We start from the raw sequence: 22,463 nt of genomic DNA on the forward strand, positions 1-22,463 counted from the left end.
ACGTTACTTTCGAGAGTCATCTGTGACCTGCCTGCCCTCTTGTACTGTGGCCTCCCCCACTGCTAGGAGACAGCCAAGCCGGTCTCCTGGCTTTTCCTCATCTACACCAAATATACAGCCTTTCCAAGTGCTGTTCCCTCATCCTGGATCACTGCTTCACTGTTCCCTTCTTACCATGCAGCTTCTAGACAAAGCATCATCTCTTCAGAAAGGGATTCCCTGACTACCAAATCTACAGCCACCTAGAAGCCATCCCCTTCCACAGCTCCCTACCTCAGTCCTCTGTGTAGCTACAGCTGAAGTTGTCTTGTCTGCGTGTTACTAAAAGCTCCACAAGAGCAGAAACTTTGTCTATCTTAGTCATCACTGCATCCCTGGTCTCTAAAACAGGACCTATTATTTAGTTAAGTTCTAAATAAAAATTTGGTAAATAAATGACTAAATGGACTTATTGCAAATTAATAATAACTGATAAATAAATTGATGAATAAATTAGTCACTAACAGAATGGATATAAATAAGGATAGATTTAAAAATGAGGAAGATAAAATTGATCAAACCAGAGCTTAGACATAAAATCTAAGCTCTGTGGAGGCAGGGTTTTCAGTCACTGCTATATTCCCAGATCTAGGATAGATCCCAACATTTAGAACAGTGCCTAGCATGTCAAAAGTGATCAGTAAAATCAGTTGAATTAACAAGCAAAAAAAAAAGTTTAAGTAGTAATAGGCCAGGCATGGTGGCACACACCTGTAATCCCAGATACTTGGGAGGCTGAGGCAGGAGGATCCCTTGAGCCTAGGAGTTGGAGGCTGCAGTGAGCTAGGATGGCACCACTGCACTTCAGCTTGAGAGACAAAGTGAGACTGTCTCAAAAAAAGGGGCGAGGGGAATGGACTAGCACCATGGGATATTAACAAAGTAGTGTGACATTGCAAAGAAATAGAGAAAATAATCAATAGAGACTCTAGAAGCAAATCCAAGAGTGATTCTGTATATGATAAATACAGGACTTAGAATCTGTGGAGGAAATACTGATTTTTAATAAATAATGTTAGATTAAGTGGTGCTATCTAGAAAAACATAAAGCTATATTATTACCTTCCTGCTCCAAAATATATTACACATGGAACAATGATTCATATGTTAAAAATTAAAGCATGAAAATATTAAAAGAAAACAGGACTGTATTTTAAAAAGTCTTAGATAGGAAGGCCTTTCTAACTGTCCTATAAAAATCCCTAAGTCATGAAACACTGACAAATTTGGCCACTTAAAAGTTAAATTATGATGGTAAAAGTTATCACAAACAAAGTAAAGGATAAACTTCAAACCCAGAAAAGTGAGTTCAACTGATATGACAAAGGGCTAATTTTCCTCTACTATCCTCCCACCAAAAAAAAAAATTTTAACTGTCTTACAAATCAATTAGAAAAAGACTAAAAAGCTGTAGAAAAACAGGTAGGACATAAATATACTATTCACAAGGTTAAAAAAAATATAAAAAAATGCTTGACTTCATTAACTAAAGAAATACATATTAAAGCAATGAGATTGTATTTTTACATATCAGATTAATGATCATCTTCCCTCACAAAACTCTGGCATGGGATTTACAACTCCTCAACATATACCTACAAATCTCCAAAAAAAAAATCACATTTTTTACAATTATTATATTGAAAATTTACTGAAAGCCCTCACTTGGATTTAGTGTGCAAAAGAACTACCCAAAACATTAAGTTATTATATCCTTAATGCTTATCTTTTAAGAGAAAAATATCAACTAAAATCTTACATGATTTCACAAGTTCTTAAAAAAACACAGTTCATGAAATATAAGAGGAACAAAAATTTCAAACAAAGATAAAATTCTAACTATCACCACTGGGTGTCTCCAAGGAGGCTGAGGGATACAGAGGTAGGAGAGGGGCTTTTCAATGTTTATCTTTGCACTTTTTGAGTCTTGCAGTGTGTGTAATTATCATATATTCACAAAATAAATAAAATTAAAATTGAAAAGTAAAATAAAAATCTACTACAAAGAAAAGCATGATCTTAAATCCCAAGGGACCAAATCATATAGACTACACTTCTGGCATCATGCTTAAAGTGTCTTCCACTAATAGAATATCCTAAGGAAGCCTCCTGCAGTGTTTCATGGTATTTACTCTGGAGCAAACAGCCACTGTAAAAAGGCACCACTCACAGCTACTGTGCAAATCCCCTCCCCAACATATTTAGCTTACTAGATTACAGGTCTCTCCTCAATACCACCAATCTAGGGGTAAACCTAGTAGCCTAGGAAGGGCATATGTGGCAATAAATATTCCTATCAGCTAAAGCAAATTAATGAAACTGCAGATACTATGTAATAACTTGTCATGACCTATCAATTTGATGGTGTCCAGTAACAACTCAGATAAATAACTTGTTAAAATAAATTTTAAGGTGTTATCTCTAACAGTTCTCTTTAGGAGGGGAGTTGACATTATTATTATGATTTTTTTTTAATGTAGGAAGGGCATTTACTATAACAGTTGCTATTTAGAAAGGTAAAATATTTATCACTTCACACATTAAGGATTGTGAAAGACTGACCAATATTAGCTCTCTGTTAAATATCACAAAATAATATTAAGTCAAAAACTGGGTAATGCGCATAGTCTAGATAACACCATGGCATACTAAACTTAACTAAGGTAATCATTTTAGCCTCATTTATAGAAGCACTAATTTAGATATTAAAATGGTAGGGTCTGTATTAATCTTAATTTCTTAAGCAAAAAAGGCAGAGTTTAATTTTAAAATAGATACAAATTACATAGGTCTGTGCAAAATATCCAAGTTATTCTATTCATTATAAGGTACTAATTTAAGTAAGGCTAGTCTACAAATACTTAGCTTAAATGCTATACTGAACCACAAGACATAGCTTTTATGAAATAAATCCAAATGAGACCAAAACTGTTTTTAAAGAATGGACTTTAAAATAAATATCTGAACCCATCAACAAATACATCCTGAGTGATAATTCATTCACCTACCCACTTAAGAATTAAAATTAAAATGAATATTAAGTTCTCTCACTAGGTAGAATAATCTAAAGTAGGAAGGTAGAATAATCTACAGTAACTCATTTTGGAAAAAACACTATAAATTATGAGTTCTAACAATAAAAATTTGACCTCCGTGTTAGAATCATGTTGTTTTAAAAATAATTATATCTACTTTTATATAAGACTGCTGCAAATGTAAAAAAGATTTCTTTAAAGATTATCATTTTAAAAACCATATACTACTAGAATTTTCTTTTTAATAACAGTAAAACAAATTTCATCAAAATCCTGTGTCACACTGTCAGTCATAAAACTCTCAGAGCTATCACCCACATTCCCACCTCACTTCACCAGTGAATGGAAATAACTGAGAGGCTTCTACTCGTGACTTTTCTAATTTAGCCATCCTGGGAACAGCTTGTAAAGCGAACTAGTATAGGTCAAAACATGGGCGAGGCTGAGCTAATCAGAAACTGTCAGCAGTAGCACAAACAAGTTAAACTGTAAAGCACCAAAGGACCCACTGCCTCACTAACAGGAGTTCTGAGTGCCCTGGTAAGACTCACCTTGAATTAGGGTGAATCATTCTTCCACAAAAGATTTGACTTGAAGGTAAATGATAAAAGGTGTAAAAGTTGTTCCCAATATTAGTTAATACATAACTTTTAAAGACAGACATGTTTTAAAACCCAGCAAAGATATTTTAAGTGTCATTGTTTTTATTTTGTTCCAAGTTTTCCACTAAATGATTTATTAGCAAAAGCAAGTGCCATTTCCATTACACGGTAAGAGTGATAATATATTAACTAACACTTGCTGTGCTCCTTGTGCCAAAAAAATGTTCCAAGTGTTTTCGCACAAAATCTCATTCAACCCACACAAGATCTCTATAAGGTAGGCTTTATTAGTTCCATTTTGCAGATTCATAAACTGATGGTTAAAGGGCTTAAACACGGGAGCACTGAACAAAATTTTTGGCAACATTACCGAAAAAATAATAATATAGCAAAAGATGAAGCCCAGCCAAAGTTGTGAAGTCAATTTCCTCTGACATAGCAAAATGAGCTTTTTCAGAGTAGTCATCTTACATATGCTAGAAAAACATGCTTGTACTTGAGTGCCTAAAGTATTCAAATATTGCACTGATCTACCAAACAGTATCCTTCCCATTCTTCTTCCTTTTTTCAACAGTTTTTTTAAAAATAAAATATTAGCATTGTTTTTGTTTAAAAACAATTTAATTTTTTGGTGGCAATTAAAAGAGTAAAGTCTAGAGGCCAGGTGCATTGTCTCACATCTCAGTTCTTTGGAAAGTTGAGGTAGGAGGATTGCTTGAGCCCAGGAGTTTGAGACCAGCCTGGGCAACATAGTAAGACCTCATCTCTACAGGGGGGGGAAAAAAAAAAAGTAAAGTCTCTGAAAACACCCACAAGACAACTAATGCATTATTAACATTAACTTGACCTTCATTCAATAACTTGGCAAGCCAATCCTTTAAAAACAAGAAAATAGCTGTCACTGCAACAAAATTAATTCTTAACTTTTAAAACACAAAGATTTTAAAATTTAAATACATTATTTTTCTTTAAGAGATTTCTTCAATCATATTCACTAAGAAAAGAAGACCAAGAGATAATTATGCTTAAAACATTATGTTTAAACGTGGAAAATTACATAGCAGGTATTAAAATCTTGCTTGAGAAAGAAAATTAACTTTATAGAAGCTTTGTTTCTAAGTGATAGCCTTAAAAATTCAGTTTCTCAATCTAGAAAGAAAAAAAGCTGTGTGGTGGATGAAAGATATAATCATTTTTATAGAAGAATAGAAAAAAATAATTTCAAAGAGTATAATTTTAAATATGTTTTACTTTAGTTTTAGACCCTTCTCCAGATGGCAAATGGCTAGCTAGCATTCTATCAAGAATTTCTCAAGCCTGACATTTAGAATTCAACTTCAAAAACAACATATATGTAATCCTACATTTATGTCATTATATTATAGCTAAGGCACGTATTTTAGCAGTAGCAAGACCTTAGGAGAAAACATGATAGACGGTGGTTTTTCGTTTTTAAAAAGTTTATAATTGTTTAGAAATCCTCAACATTATACTTTAAATACACAAGTGTTATTACATTTTCTCCGAGAGAATGTTTAAAATATATACACCAAAAGTATAACTTAATTTTATAATCTTAAAAGTTAAACTTCTTTAGTCATAAAAACTTCTTTAAGGCAGTGATACTGAGGAATGCTGCTTTGATACTGAGGAAAGATATTATAAAAAGCCCTTAAGAAGAAATAATGTGGGATAAGAACAAAAACTACAAATAGTAAATTTAAGCCCTTTGGTCGACAGATGAAACTCACAGCTCTTTTAATCAGAGAATAAAAACTGAGGCAAAAGGAGGAGAAAATCGAGCTATTTAATTCCTATCAAATATGTAAACTAATGATGAATGTCACCATCCTAAAAATAAAGATGGCCTACCTTAGAGGTGATCCACTTGATAAGAACCAAGGCCAGACACCAGATCAATGTAATTCCCATTGGATCAATCAAAAGCCCGCTGCATAATCTCTCTCTTCTACTAGGGAGCAAGGAAAACTTCTTAGGAGTCTGATAAATACCAGCTGTCCCGAGGCAAAAGAGAGGGGACACTGACTGCCTTGGACCTCAAGCAGCTGCCTTCCAACAGTGATCACCTGACTCCTCTGGGAATGCACTACCCAGCCAGCCTTCTTACCCAGCGCATGCTTCATGCCACAACCGCAGGGTTGGGGTAGAACTGCCTAAGTAATGTTGGAAGAGGGGAGGGAAAAGACTTTAGTGAGCGCTGACCTAACAGTCTAACAAAATGTAGGCAAAGGAGGCCTCAGGCCAGCCCCAAACACTTCTACAATCTTAGTACTAACAGAGTGCCTTAAAACAACTTTCAAAAAATGTGTGGCAGTACTAAAAATTTCTTCATTCTTTTCACATAGAACTGTTTCACAAGCACAGTGTCCTGTGACATTTTAAAATATTAATGCATTTTATTCCATCTTTTCAATTTTTAATTGAAATTTGTTCAACTTTTTATTTCTTTTAGGGATAGAACTACTTTATGAATATTAGAGGCTGTCATATTATCTATGCTTCTTAACATTATAATTCACTCATTTTGGACTTACTGAAAAAAAGCCAGTCTAATAGTGCATTTTCAAATAATTAAGGACATATTATTTTCAAGCACTAACTGCAATCTAACTTATATTTTTGGTACAGATCTTGTTCTCGCGGCTGTAAGTGAGCTTTCTAATAACAAAGTATGCTTCTATTCATCCATCTTCATAACCGAGAGGCTGCAGATAATACTGCTGAGAAAATGCCTTTTGTGAAACTTTCATTCAAGTATTCAGCAAATATTTATTAAGCTGCTAATATGTACCAGGCTCTGCACCAGATGGCAGGGATATAAGCATCAAGTAAAAGCAGACAAGGTTCCTGCCCTTGTGGTGCTTGCAATTTAGTTGGAGTGTACATTAATCAAATTATGTAAATAAACACAAAATTGCAACTGTAACAAATGCGATGAAGCAGACGTAGGAAACGCCAACAAACCTGAATCTGACCTAGTTAAGAGGTGAAGGACTTCTTCCAGAATCTCTGAAATGACCCTGAGATAAAGTGTGATGGTGCAAGAATTGTGAAGACAGAAGACAGATTGTGCAGACGAAGAACAGGCGTGAGGGCCAAAGGGTGAGACAAAACCAAGCCAAGCAAGTCTGAGAGACAGAAAGACCAGGGCGGCTCAAGGGCAGGGAGGAGGAGCCAGATGACGCTGCAGCCCTGGGGAGCAGAGGCCAGGCCCTACGAGGGCCATGTGGGGGTGTCTTGTCTGAATTTCAATCTACTGAAGTACTGTAGTAGATTTTGCTTTTTAAAAAGACCACTTTGGTCAAGTATAGGGAGGTGGGGTAGGGGCTGGATGGGCAGTCAGGCCACCACTGCAGAGGTCCCAGAGAAAGGTGAAGATGGCATGGGCTGACTGAAGAACACTCAGGAGGTGACTGCAGTCCATGACAAGACAACGTCATCTGATTATCAATGTACACAAATGATGATCCTAAAATATTTGAAAAGAACCAAAATAGTTCAAATAATAATATTATTTTCATTATCTAATCCTCAGTACAAAGAGCTTATTTAAAAGAGAAGTCAGTTCTAGGCTTGTCAAAATGAAGTGCAAATTAAATTTATAGGTGTAAATCCAAATTTTCCTAACCTGAAACCATTCTTAACACATGGCCATAAAATTTTCACTTCTTGCTACAGAACTAACAAGTTATAATACTCATCTTTGCATAAATCCAGATAACATTTTAATTTTTGCCATGAGACTAGCTTTAATATGAGACCGTCAAGGTCTCTGATTACTCTGTCTTCCAGTAAGGTTCTAGCAACTAAACTTGAAGGATGCCTAGGCATGAGACAGAGCAGCAGAGTGTATCTTAGGCCAATGCTCCAGGGAAACACTGGCGGTCATCTGTAAGAGGCTGTGCAGCCTGGGCCCCTGGCTTCGAGGTCATTCTCTGCCACTCTGGCCTGGGCTATACACTCCAAACCAGCCTATAACCTCGATGCTTGGCCCAGGGATGCTACCCTTCCCACCTTCACATTTCTCTTCCAATCAACTGCTCAAAAAGAGTCAAGTTTTGGAAAGCGAATACAAGATGGCTATTTTTGGTACAATACTTGAAAAATCATAATTGAGATGAAGATTTAAAAAGAGGAAGTAAGAAAGGCAGTTCTAAAAGTTGTCTCACTGAAATGAATTTCTATCTAGATTATTTCTACCATCTCAAAACTCTACTGTGCTTGAAGTTCAGAGCCTAGATTTATTTCCCAGCTTTACTGCCATGGGCAAATCACCACTTCTCTGTGCCTTAATTTTTCTCCCCTTCATGGGAGGTAAGTGGTATCTATAAACGAACAGCTAGCTCGTAGTGGACTCTCAACAAATTTTTGCTAAATCAGAATTAAATTCTACTGTATTTAAAACCTAGAAATGAGAATGCCCTAAACACTCCAGCTTCACCTTAACTCTAGACCTAACTGCAATCACAATGGTCCATGAAGGGAACTTGCACTGTGTTTGCAAGTGCCCTGAGAAACCTCCGATTCTCAGCAGGATTAGGCTCTTGGCTTTCATTTCTCACGCTAGTTAATAGGTTGGCTCCCTAAAATGCTTCCCCCAGCATCCACTTCCTAATTTCCACTAATGTCTGACACGGTAATACAGAGATAATCAAGACACAATTCTCCCCCAGATCAGAAAATTTCCTATTAGAACAGAAACAGCTACTGAGTTTATGCCTGAAGTCGTAAAGCTTTCATTGCTAATGACACATTTACATCACTCAAATCTTACAAAAATCTCAGGCAACACAGTTTTTCTTAAAGTAGTAATCTCAACTTTCTCAATGTCATAAACCTAATGGCTGTAAGACTTTTTCTTATTTTGAGATACACTTAGTACTACTTATCTTGGTGATTTATAATTAAATTTTAATAATAATAAAATTTCAATAAGATGAAATAAAAACAAATGCTGTTTCAAATTACTATAAAATCTCTTTTACCATAAATATTATGCTTATAACTTAGATAATTCTCCTAAAAGTTTATTTTTCCAGAGTTGGATCATGTAGTTTATTATTCTATAAAGTTACCTCTTTTACACTAACAACAAATGTATTCTTTTACATTAACTGTTTTCGTAGTTGTCTCATATCCTTAGTGAAACATGGCAAAGTAATAAATCAGGTGACTATTCTAGAAAAATTAATGCATAGGATACACTTAAAATTTTCAAAAACAGAATTTGATACTATAAGAAGAAAGTATAAAACTTTTTACCTTTCTGGGGTTTATAAGGCTAATATCAGAAAAGCTGAGTTAAAAGCAGACCTCACTATTTTATGAGTGTGATCAATAGGAAAAAAATATGACTTTGTTCATTGTTTCTTAGAGAAGTAATCCAAGAGAAAATTTTATCCCTGGGGCTCTCTGCCACTCACAGGACACCTGTCAATCTTGGCAATAGCCTTTAGCTATCCATACAGAGACTCGGCATGTCCCTCTCTTGCCCAAATTAGGCTAACCTCATCTGCATTGACATCAGTGTCTATAATTTTGGAATCCCATGGACAGAAATAGTCTATCACAGAGTTCTTTATACAAATGTAGTGTCTGTAGAAAACTATAACCAAATTTGCGACAGAAAAAATGTGAACACTATAGTAAAAACCCTCCAACTGTGCTCTCATTGTTTTGAATTCCAGCCCACTTTAATAACAAGTAATAAATCAGAGTAAGGTTTTGGTTTATTTCTTTTACTAAAAACCAAGGCTTATTATTCTTCAAATGGTATGAATTTTAAGTGACATGAAACTAAGAAAAAAGCTTCCATAACAAAAAATTATTTAAAAGCTATGGTACTATGAGAGTTTTGCCATTCAATTAAGACCTTTCTGTAATACTGACTTAGAGCTCTGAATTTTTTGTCATGTAGTATCCGAATATTTGATGAAAATGTCATGTGATTTCTCCTAGTATAAAGAAGTAAAAAAAAAAATCTTGACACTTTACCAACAATTCAAGTCTTCAGGTCCAGAAAACATCACCTTATGATACTAAAAGCACTTAGAAAGTCTCTGGTGACATTCTTAAGAACCAAACAGAGCCCCATGCTACAATTAGGCACACTCCTAGTTGAACAAACACACCCAGAGATAAAGTATTTGGGCGGAAATACTTTCCCACCCAATTCTTCAAACTAGTGGAAGAATTCTAGAAGTAGCCAACAAGACTCTTCATTAGATCTTGTCTTGTTCCACAGTTTATTTACTGGCATGTAGATCAGAAAAACATATAGCAAATCTGCATATAAAACACAATAGGTATATCAGCATGCTGAATTACAAAATTAAAAAAATTAAAGGTATGTCAGTATGCTGAATTTCAAAAATTTAAAAAAAATTGTCTGCATTTTGATATACAATAAATTGCATACCTATAAAACAATGAAAATAAGTTTTTAAAGTTTCCTAAAAAAAAAAAAAAAGGCAAATATGGTTAAATTCTAAATGAGAGATAATAAGTGAAGACAATCTTAGGAGGCAATGAGATCAGGTACGTTTCCAAATCAAGGATGCTCCACTATCTTCAATACGGGCCACATAAGAATGAATTCAGTTCTGAATACCACTGCAGATGATGCATGATTACATGCATATTTTAATGTCGACAGGGATACAATATAAGGAATAGTTTTAAAACTGAAGCTTTAGGCAAAGAAACAAAAAGAAAGACAGAATAGGTGTTAAACTGCTGTAACATAAAATAACCTAAGAAGAAGTCTACCTTTATTTTGGGAAATTACATAAGGCAGAAGTAGGACCAGGAGCACAAGTTTGTTAAAAACAGAATTTGACTCTTATTTCCTAAGAACTTTCTACAGCTTCTTACAACTTTCTACAATTAAAATCATGTAAGGATCTGCCTCAAACTAGCCTCTGTTCAGGGGCTTTTCGGGTAGGCTAGAACAAATGACTTTCAAGGTCTCTGCCAATTCTAAGGCTCTACAGTAATGTAACTGACAGCTCATAAGTGCTTATAGGCTAACAATTTTAATTTTAAACTTTAAACTGATGGCAAACTTGAACCAAATCATGACAAATTTTTGTACTAGTAATCTGAAAATGCTATCACTCACAACTCTGTGAAATGAAAAATGGAAACATTCTTTTTCCATACACAAAAGATAAATAAGATTAGCATGGCATGAATGCACCTTCTTCAATTTAATAATGAAAGAAGTCTTTCTAAGAAAGCTACTGTTATCAAAGGCTCCTCAATGGGACAGTGCACCCACCACCACACCCCACAAGACCAAGCCACATGAACTTCCTCAAAACTACTATGGCAACTAAGTGGTTACAGTGTTTATCTTGAAAGATACTTTTTTTAATGAGACCGATTTGTAGGTGAGGGAAAAAAAAAAAACTTCACCTATAAGTAGTATTATAAACAGACCAATACTTGTAGGCAAATATAAATTATAACATAGACATTAAGGAGAAAAACACCAATCTTGGCAGAAATAGGATAAATTTTAAAAGAAGACTTCTGAATAAGAATGGTAACTGTCCATAATTGCCTGTCTCTCCAAACCAGTGTAGAAGTCCAAAAATTTTCTGAAGTATACTTGAGGCACTTTGAATTGAATAGTACTATTTCATCTCCACATATAACATTGCAAAAGAGAGAGACACACACACAGAGATTGAGATCTTCACTGTGTTAGGCACAAGGGAAATAATGTGAATGAGACACAGTCCTTGCCTTTACACAGCTTAAGTTTTTGTGGGGGCTACAAACAATCAGCATAACAACAAGTAATTACAATTACATGTAAATCCAGAGTGCTATAAGTACCAAGTATGACAATTAACCCAGGATTTGTTAACATCAAAGAAGACTACCAGGAAAAATGCGACAATGTAATCTCATCCTTAAAAATGATGAATAAGAGCTTGTCAGGTACAGGCAGTGGGGAAAAGAGCCCCAGGCAGAAAGAGCAATATGTACAAATTATCAGAGGTGAGCTAAATCTTCGCCAGCAAAAAACATAAACAAGATTCAATAAATTATAAGGTAACTGGTACTGGACTAGCTCTCCCATTATATAAACAACTAAAAAGTTAAGCTTTCAATATGAGATACATGAAACATTGTTTTCAGATGTTAGACAGCAAGTACTGCAGGACTTTGATCCTTGAGAGAATGGAAAAAACCAAGGTAAGCCCTAACATTGCCCAGGCTCCTTCCTATAGGCAGTCGCCAAACCTGAAAGCAAGGCACAATCCTGCAGAGCACAGCGGTCTCACAAAGCTAAGGACACAGAGACTGCAGCTCAGGGAGGCTGAGGTACCTGGAATTTGCAGGGCTGAATGCCAGAGAGGAGGGAGCTGTGAGGACAAGGAGCTCCAGAAGTCTGATGGTGGATCCCCTTGAATCTTTGGCTGAATACTAAGCTGAGTATGTGTAGGATTAGACTCCATGAGGCCAGAAAAATAATAACTACCAGGGAAAGAACAACTACAGGAGAGTTCAGAGTTCCAACCAACCACAGAGAAGAGACCTCAGGGAATACCTGGGACATTCCATAGAGATTCCAGAAATGCCATACCGTTAGGAGGTACTAGTCCATCAGCGTAGAAAGCCCTATCAGAAACACTAACAAAACTTACAATAAGCGTAAAGGGATCAGGTGGATCTGCAAGTCACTAAACTGCCTACCAGAACAGAATTTAACATTCTTTAAAAGATGACAAATCAAAAATTACAAATTAGTAGGGAAAATAAAAAAGTCACCTCAAAACTGGGGTGGAGGGGAGTGTTCAATAAAAACAAACCCAAAAATGATTAAGATAATAGAATTGGTAGACAAAGACTTCTTAAATGTTATTGTAAATATGTACAAAGATTTAAAGGAAAACATGTACACAATGAAAAAAAAGAAACTAAAAAAATGGATCATCTATAGCTGAAAAATACAGTATCTATGCTAAGAAATTCACAGTTGGGCTTAATAGCAAACAAAACACAATATAAGAAAAGATCAATAGAAATTACCTAACCTGATGCACACAGAGAAACAAAAGCCAAAAAATAAATAAATAAATAAATAAAAACTAAAAAAAAAAACATGAATCTGAACCTGTGAGCCTGCGGGACAACATCAAGCAGTGGAGTAATTAGACTCCAAAAAGGAATGTAAAAGATAGCAAACATACTTGAAGCAATAATGATGAAATATTTTTCTCATCTGATAACAACTATCAATCCATATGTCAAAGCAGGTTAAACGAACTCCAAACATAAAAAAACACAAAGAAAACTATACCTAGATACATAGCAATCAAATGCTGAAAATCCAAAAGCAGACAATGACATTACAAGAAAATAAAACCATAGACTAATATCCCCTATAAACACAGATAAAACAATCATTTAGAAAACATTAGTAAATCAAATCCATTAGCATATAAAAAGGAAATACATTATGAGAAGTGGCAATTATCCTAGGAATCTAAAGCTGATTTAGCATTCAAAAAACAATAAATGTAATTCAACATTAACAGAATTAAGAAAAATCATACAATCAGTTCAATTGGTAAGAAAAATGCATTTGACAAAATTCAATAGTCATTATGATAAACAATCTTAATAAACTAAGAATAAAAGAAAACTTCTTCACCATATAAAGGACATCTATTAAAAAAATCCATAGCCATCATTGTACTTAACAATAAGACTAAATATTTTTGCCCTAAGATCACAAGCAAAGTTGCTCTACCACTTCAACATGGTACTGAAAGTCAAAGCCAATAAATACATTAAGGCCACAAAAAGAAAAAGCATAAGGCATATAAATTAGAAACAAAGAAAAAACTGTCTTTTGTGCAGACAACATGACTGTCCATGTAGAAAATCCTAAAGACCCTACAAAAGAGCTACTGGAACTAATAAAAATTAGTACGGTCAATAGACACAAGTTTGATATTAAAAAAATCAACTGTATTTCTATATATTAGTAAAAAATGATTGGAAAATGAAATTTTAAAAATACCATTTGCAATCATAACCATAAACATAAAATACTTATGGATAAAATCAATAGGATATATGCATGATCCATACAATGAAAACTACAAAACATAGTATGGGGTTGAATTGTGTCCCCCCAAAAGATATGTCAAAGTCCTAACCCCCAGGTGCCTGTAAATGTGACCTCATTTGGAAACAGGTTTTTGCAAATGTAATCAAGTTAAGATGAGGGCATACTGGGTTAGTGTGGGCTCTAAATCCAATGACTAGTGTCCCTCTAAGAACAGGGAAATTTGGACAGACCACACAAATGCACAGGGGAGAAGCCCATGTGAAGATAGAGGCAGAGATTGTAGTGATTTATTTATAAGCCAAAGAACACCAAGGATTGCTATCAACCACTAAAAAGAAGCTAGAAGAGGCAACTGCCTCCGGGGGGCAAGGCCTTGGCTGACAACTTGATTTCAGACTTCCAGCCTCCAGAAGTGTGAGACAGATAATTTCTGTTGTTTTAAGCCACCGAGGTTTTGATACTTTGTTTTAACAGCCCTAGTTACTAATACATATGTTTACGGACTGGAAGACTCAATACTGTCAATTTTCCCTTAATTGTTCCATAAATTCAATGCAGTCTCAAAATCCCAGCAGACTTTTTTTTAGAAATTTGATGCCCAACAAAGGTACCAAAGTAATTCAGGGGAAAGTATAGTCTTTTCAATACATGACACTGGAAAAACTATATAAATATTTTTTAAATGAATAAAATAAATTTTAAAATGAGTCTAACAATCTCATGCCATACAAAAAAATTAAAAATGAATTATATATTTAAACATAAAGACTAAAATAATAAAATTTCTAAGAAAATGTATGAGAATATATCCATAATCTAGGGTTAAGTAAAGATTTCTAGACACAAGAACACCAATCACAAAAGGAAAAAAAAAATGTGTTAATTGGACTTCACTAAAACTAAAAACCTCTGTTCTTCAAAACACAGTGTTAAGATATAAAAAGGCACAGACTCAGAGAAAATTATCTGTAGTATGTAAGTCTGATAAAGAACTTGTACCAAAAAAAGGCAGAATAAAAGAATTAGTATCCAGAAATATATACATGTGTGTGTGTGTGCATATATATATATATATATATATATATATTTTTTTTTTTTTGAGATGGAGTCTCGCTCTGTCACCCAGGCTGCTGGAGTGCAGTGCAGTGGCGTAATCTTGGCTCACTGCAACCTCTACCTCTCGGGTTCAAGCAATTCTCCTGCCTCAGCCTCCCAAGTAGCTAGGACTAAAGACATGCACCACCATCCCCAGCTAATTTTTGTATTTTTACTAGAGATGGGGTTTCACCATGTTGGCCAGGCTGGTCTCGAACTCCTGAGTTCAGGTGATCCACCCGCCTCGGCCTTCCAAAGTGCTGGGATTACAGGTGTGAGCCACCTTGTTGCCTGGCCATATTTAAAAACTCATAACTTAATAAGACAACCCAATTTAAAAATACAAGCTAAAGATTTAAACAGACGAGTCACAATAGAAGATATACGAATAGCCAATATGCATATGGATGCTCAACATGTTTAATCATCAGATAAATGCAAACCAATGTAACTACAAGATACTATTAACCACAAGAATGGCTAAAATTGAAAACTGACAATATCTCGTGTTATCAAGGATGTGGAGCAATTAGAACGCTCATGCTAATTAAAATGTATATATGAAAAATAACTTGAACACAAATATTCATACCAGTTTTATTCCTAAAAGTCAAAGCTGGTAACAACATAAGCATTCATCAACTGATGAATGGATAAATTGTGGCATATCCATACAACAGAATACTACTCAGCAATAAGATAGGGCAAACTACTAATACATGCAATGAAATAAATAAATATCAGAAACACTGAGCTAAGTGAAAGAAGCCAGGGAAAGAGAAAGTATACTCTATGATTCCATTTATATGAAGTTCTAACAGGCAAAACTAATCAATAGTGATAGAAGTCAGATCAGTGGTTGTCTGGGGCAGGGGCTGGGGGGAACCTATGGCAAAGGGCCCCAAAAGAACTTTTTGGAGTGACTAAAGAGTACAATATCTTGATTGGAGTACTAGTTGCATGAGTGTACCTGCTTGTTAAAATTAATCAAACTGTATGTCAATTATCCCTCAAAAAACTGAATTTCAGAAAGAGGAGCAAAATCCACCCCACCCCCAACCCCCAGAGGAAATTTAGCATAATTACTAATAGAATTTAAAGTTAAATTGGGAGCAACAAGAGGGTTGAGACCACAGGAGTAATCAAAACTGTCAACCATAATAGGGAGTCTGAATTGCATGCAAAGACAAAAGGAAGTCACTGAGAGGTTTCATCCAGGAGACTAATACACATTTTGGAAAAAATACTCTAGGTCCCAGAGTGGAATGGATTAACACAGCGGAAGACTTCACTCTTCAGGGAGATCTGTAAGAAAGCTATTGCCTTAATCCAGAAGAGAAGATGGTCTAGACTAGGGTAGTAAACAGGAGAATAGAGAAATGTGACGGGATTTAAGAGGTTGATTTGCTTTAATGTTAGGAGAGGTTAAGTGTCTGGATACTAAGGACAACTGAGTGGAAATATTCACTCATGGCTGGGCATGGGTCTCACGGCCTGGAAAGAGAGCTGGGCTGGAGAGAGGGACCTGGAGTAATCCTCTGCCAATCAAGACTGCTAAGTAGGATTACCCAAGGAGAGAAGTGAAGACAGCTAAAATCAAAACCTTTAGGCTCACAGACAGAAAAGGACTGGGAGGGCCAAAGGCCAAAACTCACAATTGGTAACTATTCAAACTAAATAGCAGCCCCTGAAGATAGCTGTTTTTTGAGACAGAGCAGGGACTCCCTTTTTTAGGGACTCACAAAGGAAAATCCTTAAGTTCCTTCAAGGGAAATTCCAGGCATCTAGCTAGCCCCAGAGGTAACTACTAACTAGAACAAGAAGGTAATAGTAGCCTAAAACAACAGCCAAAGAAGTTAAAGCTCCAGAGATGTTTGCTTTCCTTATAGAAACTAAAAATAACATCTGAACATATGTCCCTGAATTGTCTTTCAGAGGCTCGGACCCCCCACCTAACAGATCCACTGGCACCTGGAGTCCAGATAAGGAGACAGTGAAAACTAAACTTTATAACTGCTTTTTGTTCTAAGTTTCTTCCTGCAGTGCTTGGAGAAAGTCACACCCCCTAGCCAGTTAACATTTTTCTACTGACCCTAAATTTTTAAACAAAGCTGCTCTTCCTTAACTAATGGCAAATCTGAAGATCTTTGAATCTACCTGCAACATGTAAGCCCCTGCTTCAAGATATCTCAACCTTTTAAACTTAAACCAATGTGTAATCTCCCTGTATTGAAGTATGATTTTGCCTGTAGCTTCTGCTTTCCTGAAACTCACCCCTGTGTTTAAAAATCCTTGCCTGCAAGTCACTGGGGAGGCCAGGATTTGAGCATTTAGCTGCCTGTCCTCCCTGCTTAGCACTCTGCAGTAAACACCTATTGCTGTGTTCCTCTGTGTGGGTATTTGGTTTTACTGTGCCAGGTGAGTAGGCCCTAGTTTGGTTCTATAACATTCTCTCTCACACACATACATACCAGTAACATTCCTCTCCCTCTCACACCTCAGTAAGGTTAAAACCAGAAAGACGCCACTTTGAATACAATATAAAAATAAAGTGACAAGAAGGCCCTTGCTCAACGAACATCAAACAGAAACTCCTTTTAGGGCTTAAAGTTTCGTCCAGTGCTAGGCTAGAAAAAGAACATTAGGTTCAAACCCTCTCCATCCCCTCATCTGCTCCTTTAGTGCCTTCAGAAGATGAAAGCAAGCTATTGCAGCTAACATCAAAAATTCTTTCATTCGAGTCTAAAACAGACACGAACAGACACTGACTTAGTAGTCAAAAATACACAGTGGCAGAATCAGATAGAGTCGTGCACCCCTTTTGTCCCATCAACTCAGGAGGTTGAGGCAGAAATTCAGGCCTATGATCACAACTTTGACTAGTGACTCCAATCCAGCCTGGGCAACACAGTGAGACCCCCAAAGGCGACAAAAAATAAAAACAAAAAACACACCAAAACAAAATCTGTGTTCCTATTATTACTGTTAACTGGGTGGAGTGAATGAAACTATTTAGCAAAGTCTCTAAGAATACTTCCATTTCCAACAATGGACTAGTTTAGAAACACAACTCTACCACTGAAAACAACTAAAAATGCTGGAAGATATTGAAAATATATTCTGAAATGAATCCATGAGCAGTTAAGAAAATAATTATTCTGACAAAAACAGTAAAAGAAGGAATGCAACAAGTAAAGTAATGAAGCTGGCTTTCAACTCAAGGTCAAATTAAAGTGGGTGAACCTGAGTTTTAGGATTTTCACAACCTCATGGGTCAATGGAACAAAAACTGACAAAGCCAAGGACCTGACCAAAGTATAGAGCACCCCCCAGTAACTCTTACTAACGGAATACAATGAGCAATAATCATTATATTCTACACTCATTTAAAAAAAAAACAGCTTGAATCAAAAATAAGTAAATAAATAAATAGAAGTAATAGCTTGAGTCAAATTATGTGCAATTTGATAACCATCAGCTAGGAGAACATGATACAAATTTATGCAGGCTGGCAAAAAGATCTCTTGGATTTGTTACCCATTTTGATGAGCTTAATTGCAAAGGCAATTAAGACTAACAGCAATGTAACTTAAGGAACTCTAACTAGAACAGTGTATAAAAAGCAGTTTAGTAAGGTTCAGGAAAAAACTATTTTCTCTTAACACCATTTGTTTACATTTAATAAAGTAAGAGGACATGAAGCCTTCTGTATTTAGCATATGTAATTATAACACTTTGTTTAAAATAGAAGAGACAAAAAATTAAGAAGTCAAAAATAACTTAATTTGCATTGAAGTACATGGTACTTCTTGTTCGAAAGAAATTCATTTATGATCAACACTCTACAAAGAAATTTAAAAGTTAAGCCACATGATCTAACATCAACAAAACTTTCTCATTAAGAAAATACTTTGTTCACAAACACAGAAAGTAGAATAGAGGTTGCCAGAGGCTGGGGAGAGCAGGGAATAGCAAGTTATTGTTTAAGGGGTACAGAATTTCTGTTTGGGATGATGAAAAAGTTCAGAAAACAGATAATGGTGATCACTGCACAACACTGTGAATGTACTTAATGCTACCAAAGTTCTGCACTTCAAAATCATTAAAATGGCAAGTTTTATGTTAGGCATATTTTACCACAATAAAAAAATGCAAAAGAAAAAAGTATTTTCATGTTAATTCATTAAAGTTAGGAATTCTCTCTAGTCTGAAATTCATGCAAACAAATATGCTCTTAAAATTGGACCAGGGGAGCACTGGCTTTGGGTCATCTGATCACTGATTCAAATCCAGTGTTTACTCTTCCTAACTACGGAGTCTTCATACAAGTTATATTCTAAACCTCAGTTTTCTCCACCAGGATAATGGGAAGGTACTTGGACAGTTGTTACAAGGATTAAAATAGATACTGATGGTATTCATAAAAATAATCCAGGAAGATAACCAAGTTGTTTTTATCCAATTCTCTCGCAAGTCCAAATAAAGTCATCAATTAAAACTTGCAAACCTGAAAAATCATCTCTCTTTAACTAGTATGATATAGTTCGGATATTTGTCCCTGCCCAATCTCATGTTGAAATGGAATCCCCAATGTTGGAAGTGCAGCCTGGTGGGAGGTGTTTGGATCATGGGGGTGGATCCCTGATGAAAGGGTCCGGGCCATCCCCTTGTTGATAAGTGAGCATTCTGGGTTCACTCATCTGGTCGTTTTAAAAGTGTGTGGCACCTCCCCCTCCCCACACTCTCACTTGCTCCTGCTTTTGCCACATAATGTGCCTGTTCCTGCTTTGCCTTCTGCCATGATTGAAAGCTCCCTGAGGCTTCACCAGAAGCCAAACAGATGCCAGCACCATGCTTCCTATAAAGCTTGCTGAACCGTGAGCCAAGTACACCTCTTTTCTTTATAAATTACTCAGACTCAGGTATTTCTTTGTAGCAAAGCAAGAACAGCCTAATACACAGTGCTCTGATAATATATTCAGGCATATCGATGACTTGATTCAATTCTTTAAAATGATTTCTGCCTCTCTACAGAGCAGACATTACTCAACCTTGTTCCCATTGCTCCCATTTAAATGGCCAGCTTCTCTAAGTTACAGCAACAGACAGACATGGTACTTTAAAAAGAAATAAACTGAAGATTCATTATCAAGTAAAAGTTTGACCATAGTGCTCCCCTTTTCAAGTTCTGGCTAGCCAGCACTCTTGGTACTCAACGTAATAGTCAATTTTCAGTCAGCTGCATCAGTAATCAGGTGTGCATTTAACAATGTTAAACCAGTCAGAAATTTTCCCAAGTGTTTGACAGTCTAAATCACAAATTTACTTTCAGGAGACAAGACATGGCTGGAATAGGTGGTGTTTAATCTTTTGAAGAATGACAAACCCCTTTTAATGGCAAAATAGTTTGCACACACCCACAAGATAGGCCTTTTTCTTCTGGTATCCACTGAGAAAAGTACAAAATAGCATAACATTATTGTGAATTTATGTTTAAATGGATTTAATTCATCACAACAGTATTTATATTTGAAATATGCTTATATATATGTATGAGAGTTTTTAAGTTTACTTTCTGAAATATACATGAATTCATGAAGCTCCTGTCAATTCCCAAATTCTCTTGGGATTTGCCACCAGCAGTTGGGAACCATAGGACAGAGGATACGATTGGGAGAACAAACCAGCAGAGGCAAGGTGTGTGTATATGCATCTCTCCTTGCACCTCTCCTACACACAGACACACATACACATTCTAGAAAAAATATGCATCATTCAGTATACCAACATATCTCTTTTAATATGCTGATATAATTCAAACTAATATGGTAAGAAAAATCTATATGACAAAGGTTTAAAAGGGGACACAGCAAAGAACATACAATATGTAACCCTCTTATCAAACTGCATACACCAGCACTTTATCACACATCCTTCTCTAGCCAACAGCATGATATTTTGTATTACAAAGACAGAATATCATTTTTAAAGTCTCTCTCATGGCACAAATTTAATTCTAATATTTCATTTTTTAACCCTATACCTACCCTAATTCAAGCCAAATAGTTACTCATGATTTCCTGAACATGGCTGGGGCATTACCACTGTCATACTTTTACCCAATTTATTTCCTCATTTTAGAATGAATTCCCTCCATCCCAAGAAAGTCGTGTCAACTTTAACATCTCTAAAACATAGGTATAAAGAGAAAAATGAAATTCAGTCATATTTGGACACCAGAATTGCTTATTTCAAGATTTACTGGAGAAGCTTTAAAAACCCCAAAATAAGTAATTTGAGAAAGCTGAAAGTTTCATTTTGTTGCTTTTTTTTTTTTTTTTTTTGAAGACAGTGTTTCCATTGCCCAGCTGGAGTGCAGTGGCGCAACATCAGCTCACTGCAACCTCTGCCTCCCGGATTCAAGCTATTATCCTGCCTCAGCCTCCCAAGTAGCCAGGATTACAGGCATGTGCCACCACACCAAGCTAGCTTTTTCTATTTTTAGTAGAGACAGGGTTTCACCATGTTGGCCAGGCTGGTTTCAAACTCCTGACCTCAAGTGATCTACCCGCCTCGGCCTCCCACAGTGCTGGGATTATAGGCATAAGCCACCGTGCCCAGCCAAGTTTTCTTTTATTTTGAGATGGGATCTTGCTCTGTCACCCAAGCTGGAGTACAGTAGTGTGATCAAGGCTCACTGCAGCCATGACCTCCTAGGCTCAAGTGATCCTCCTGTCTCTCATCCTCTCAAGTAGCTGAGGTCACACCTGTGTACCACCATGCCCAGCTAATTTTTGAAAAAATTTTTGGTAGAGATGGACTCTCCCTATATTGCCCAGGCTGATTTGGAACTCCTGGACTCAAGCAATCCTCCTGCCTCAGCCTCCCAAAGTGTTGGGATTACAGGTATAACACTGTGCCCAGCCAAAGCTGAAAGTTTTAATTCATTGTATGAACAGTTAAGAATCAGTTGGATATAGTACAAGCAGTTTATGGGTGATGACTAATATATATTTAAAGAGCCCCTTATTTAGAACCTGGGATACAAACTGGTACCACAGTAGCTTTGCTTATTTGAGGTAATGCTTCAAGTACATTTGATTTTAAAATTATGACTCATGTTCACTGAAAAGTTTCTAAAGTGTTGAGCAGAAAACAATTTTCAAAAGTAGTCAAGTAAACATTTAATTGAGCAGCAGAGATTACCCTATATAAAGAAAATAAAATATGGTGCTGTAGAGGCTAAGGCAACTCCATCTTGGTTGCTAATCTACCATGTTGACTTCTAATTAACCTGTTCTGGGAAGGCCTCTAAGATTTCCAGTTTATCTATTTCCTGTGTAACAGCATGGACTTACCATCAATCTTGCTCTTGGGTCAAAACAACCTTCATGTTATCGTTTTTCAGTTGTCCCACACATTCCTTCTGAATCACGTACACCCCTTCCCTATGGTGTATAAGCCCTGGTTTGAGGGATAATGGTACTGTGGATTCACCCTCGTGTCTTGCTGCTGCCTAAGACACAGGCATGGCTTCTGTTCGTAAGTCCCTATTAAATGCTTCTTTCTGAGAAACTGGAT

General features: G+C 36.1%; 1 protein-coding gene across 4 annotated transcripts in view; it reads right to left on the minus strand.

Annotated features, from left to right (window-relative positions):
- Window positions 1-22,463, minus strand: part of PDE7A (phosphodiesterase 7A) — a 127,731-nt gene that overhangs the window by 69,000 nt on the left and 36,268 nt on the right. The window contains exon 2 of one of the 4 annotated variants that reach the window (XM_011517540.4): window positions 5,549-5,645. The exons of 2 other annotated variants lie outside the window; for them this stretch is intronic. In XM_011517540.4, coding sequence (XP_011515842.1) covers window positions 5,549-5,608 — 60 coding nt within the window. In that variant the 5' untranslated portion in view covers window positions 5,609-5,645. Of the gene's footprint in view, window positions 1-5,548; window positions 5,725-22,463 lie in introns of those variants that run through there. One more of the 4 variants, NM_002603.4, reaches the window with a different exon arrangement.

The sequence above is a fragment of the Homo sapiens genome, chromosome 8 (genome assembly GCF_000001405.40).
Source record: "Homo sapiens chromosome 8, GRCh38.p14 Primary Assembly".
NCBI classification, from domain to species: Eukaryota; Metazoa; Chordata; class Mammalia; order Primates; family Hominidae; genus Homo; species Homo sapiens.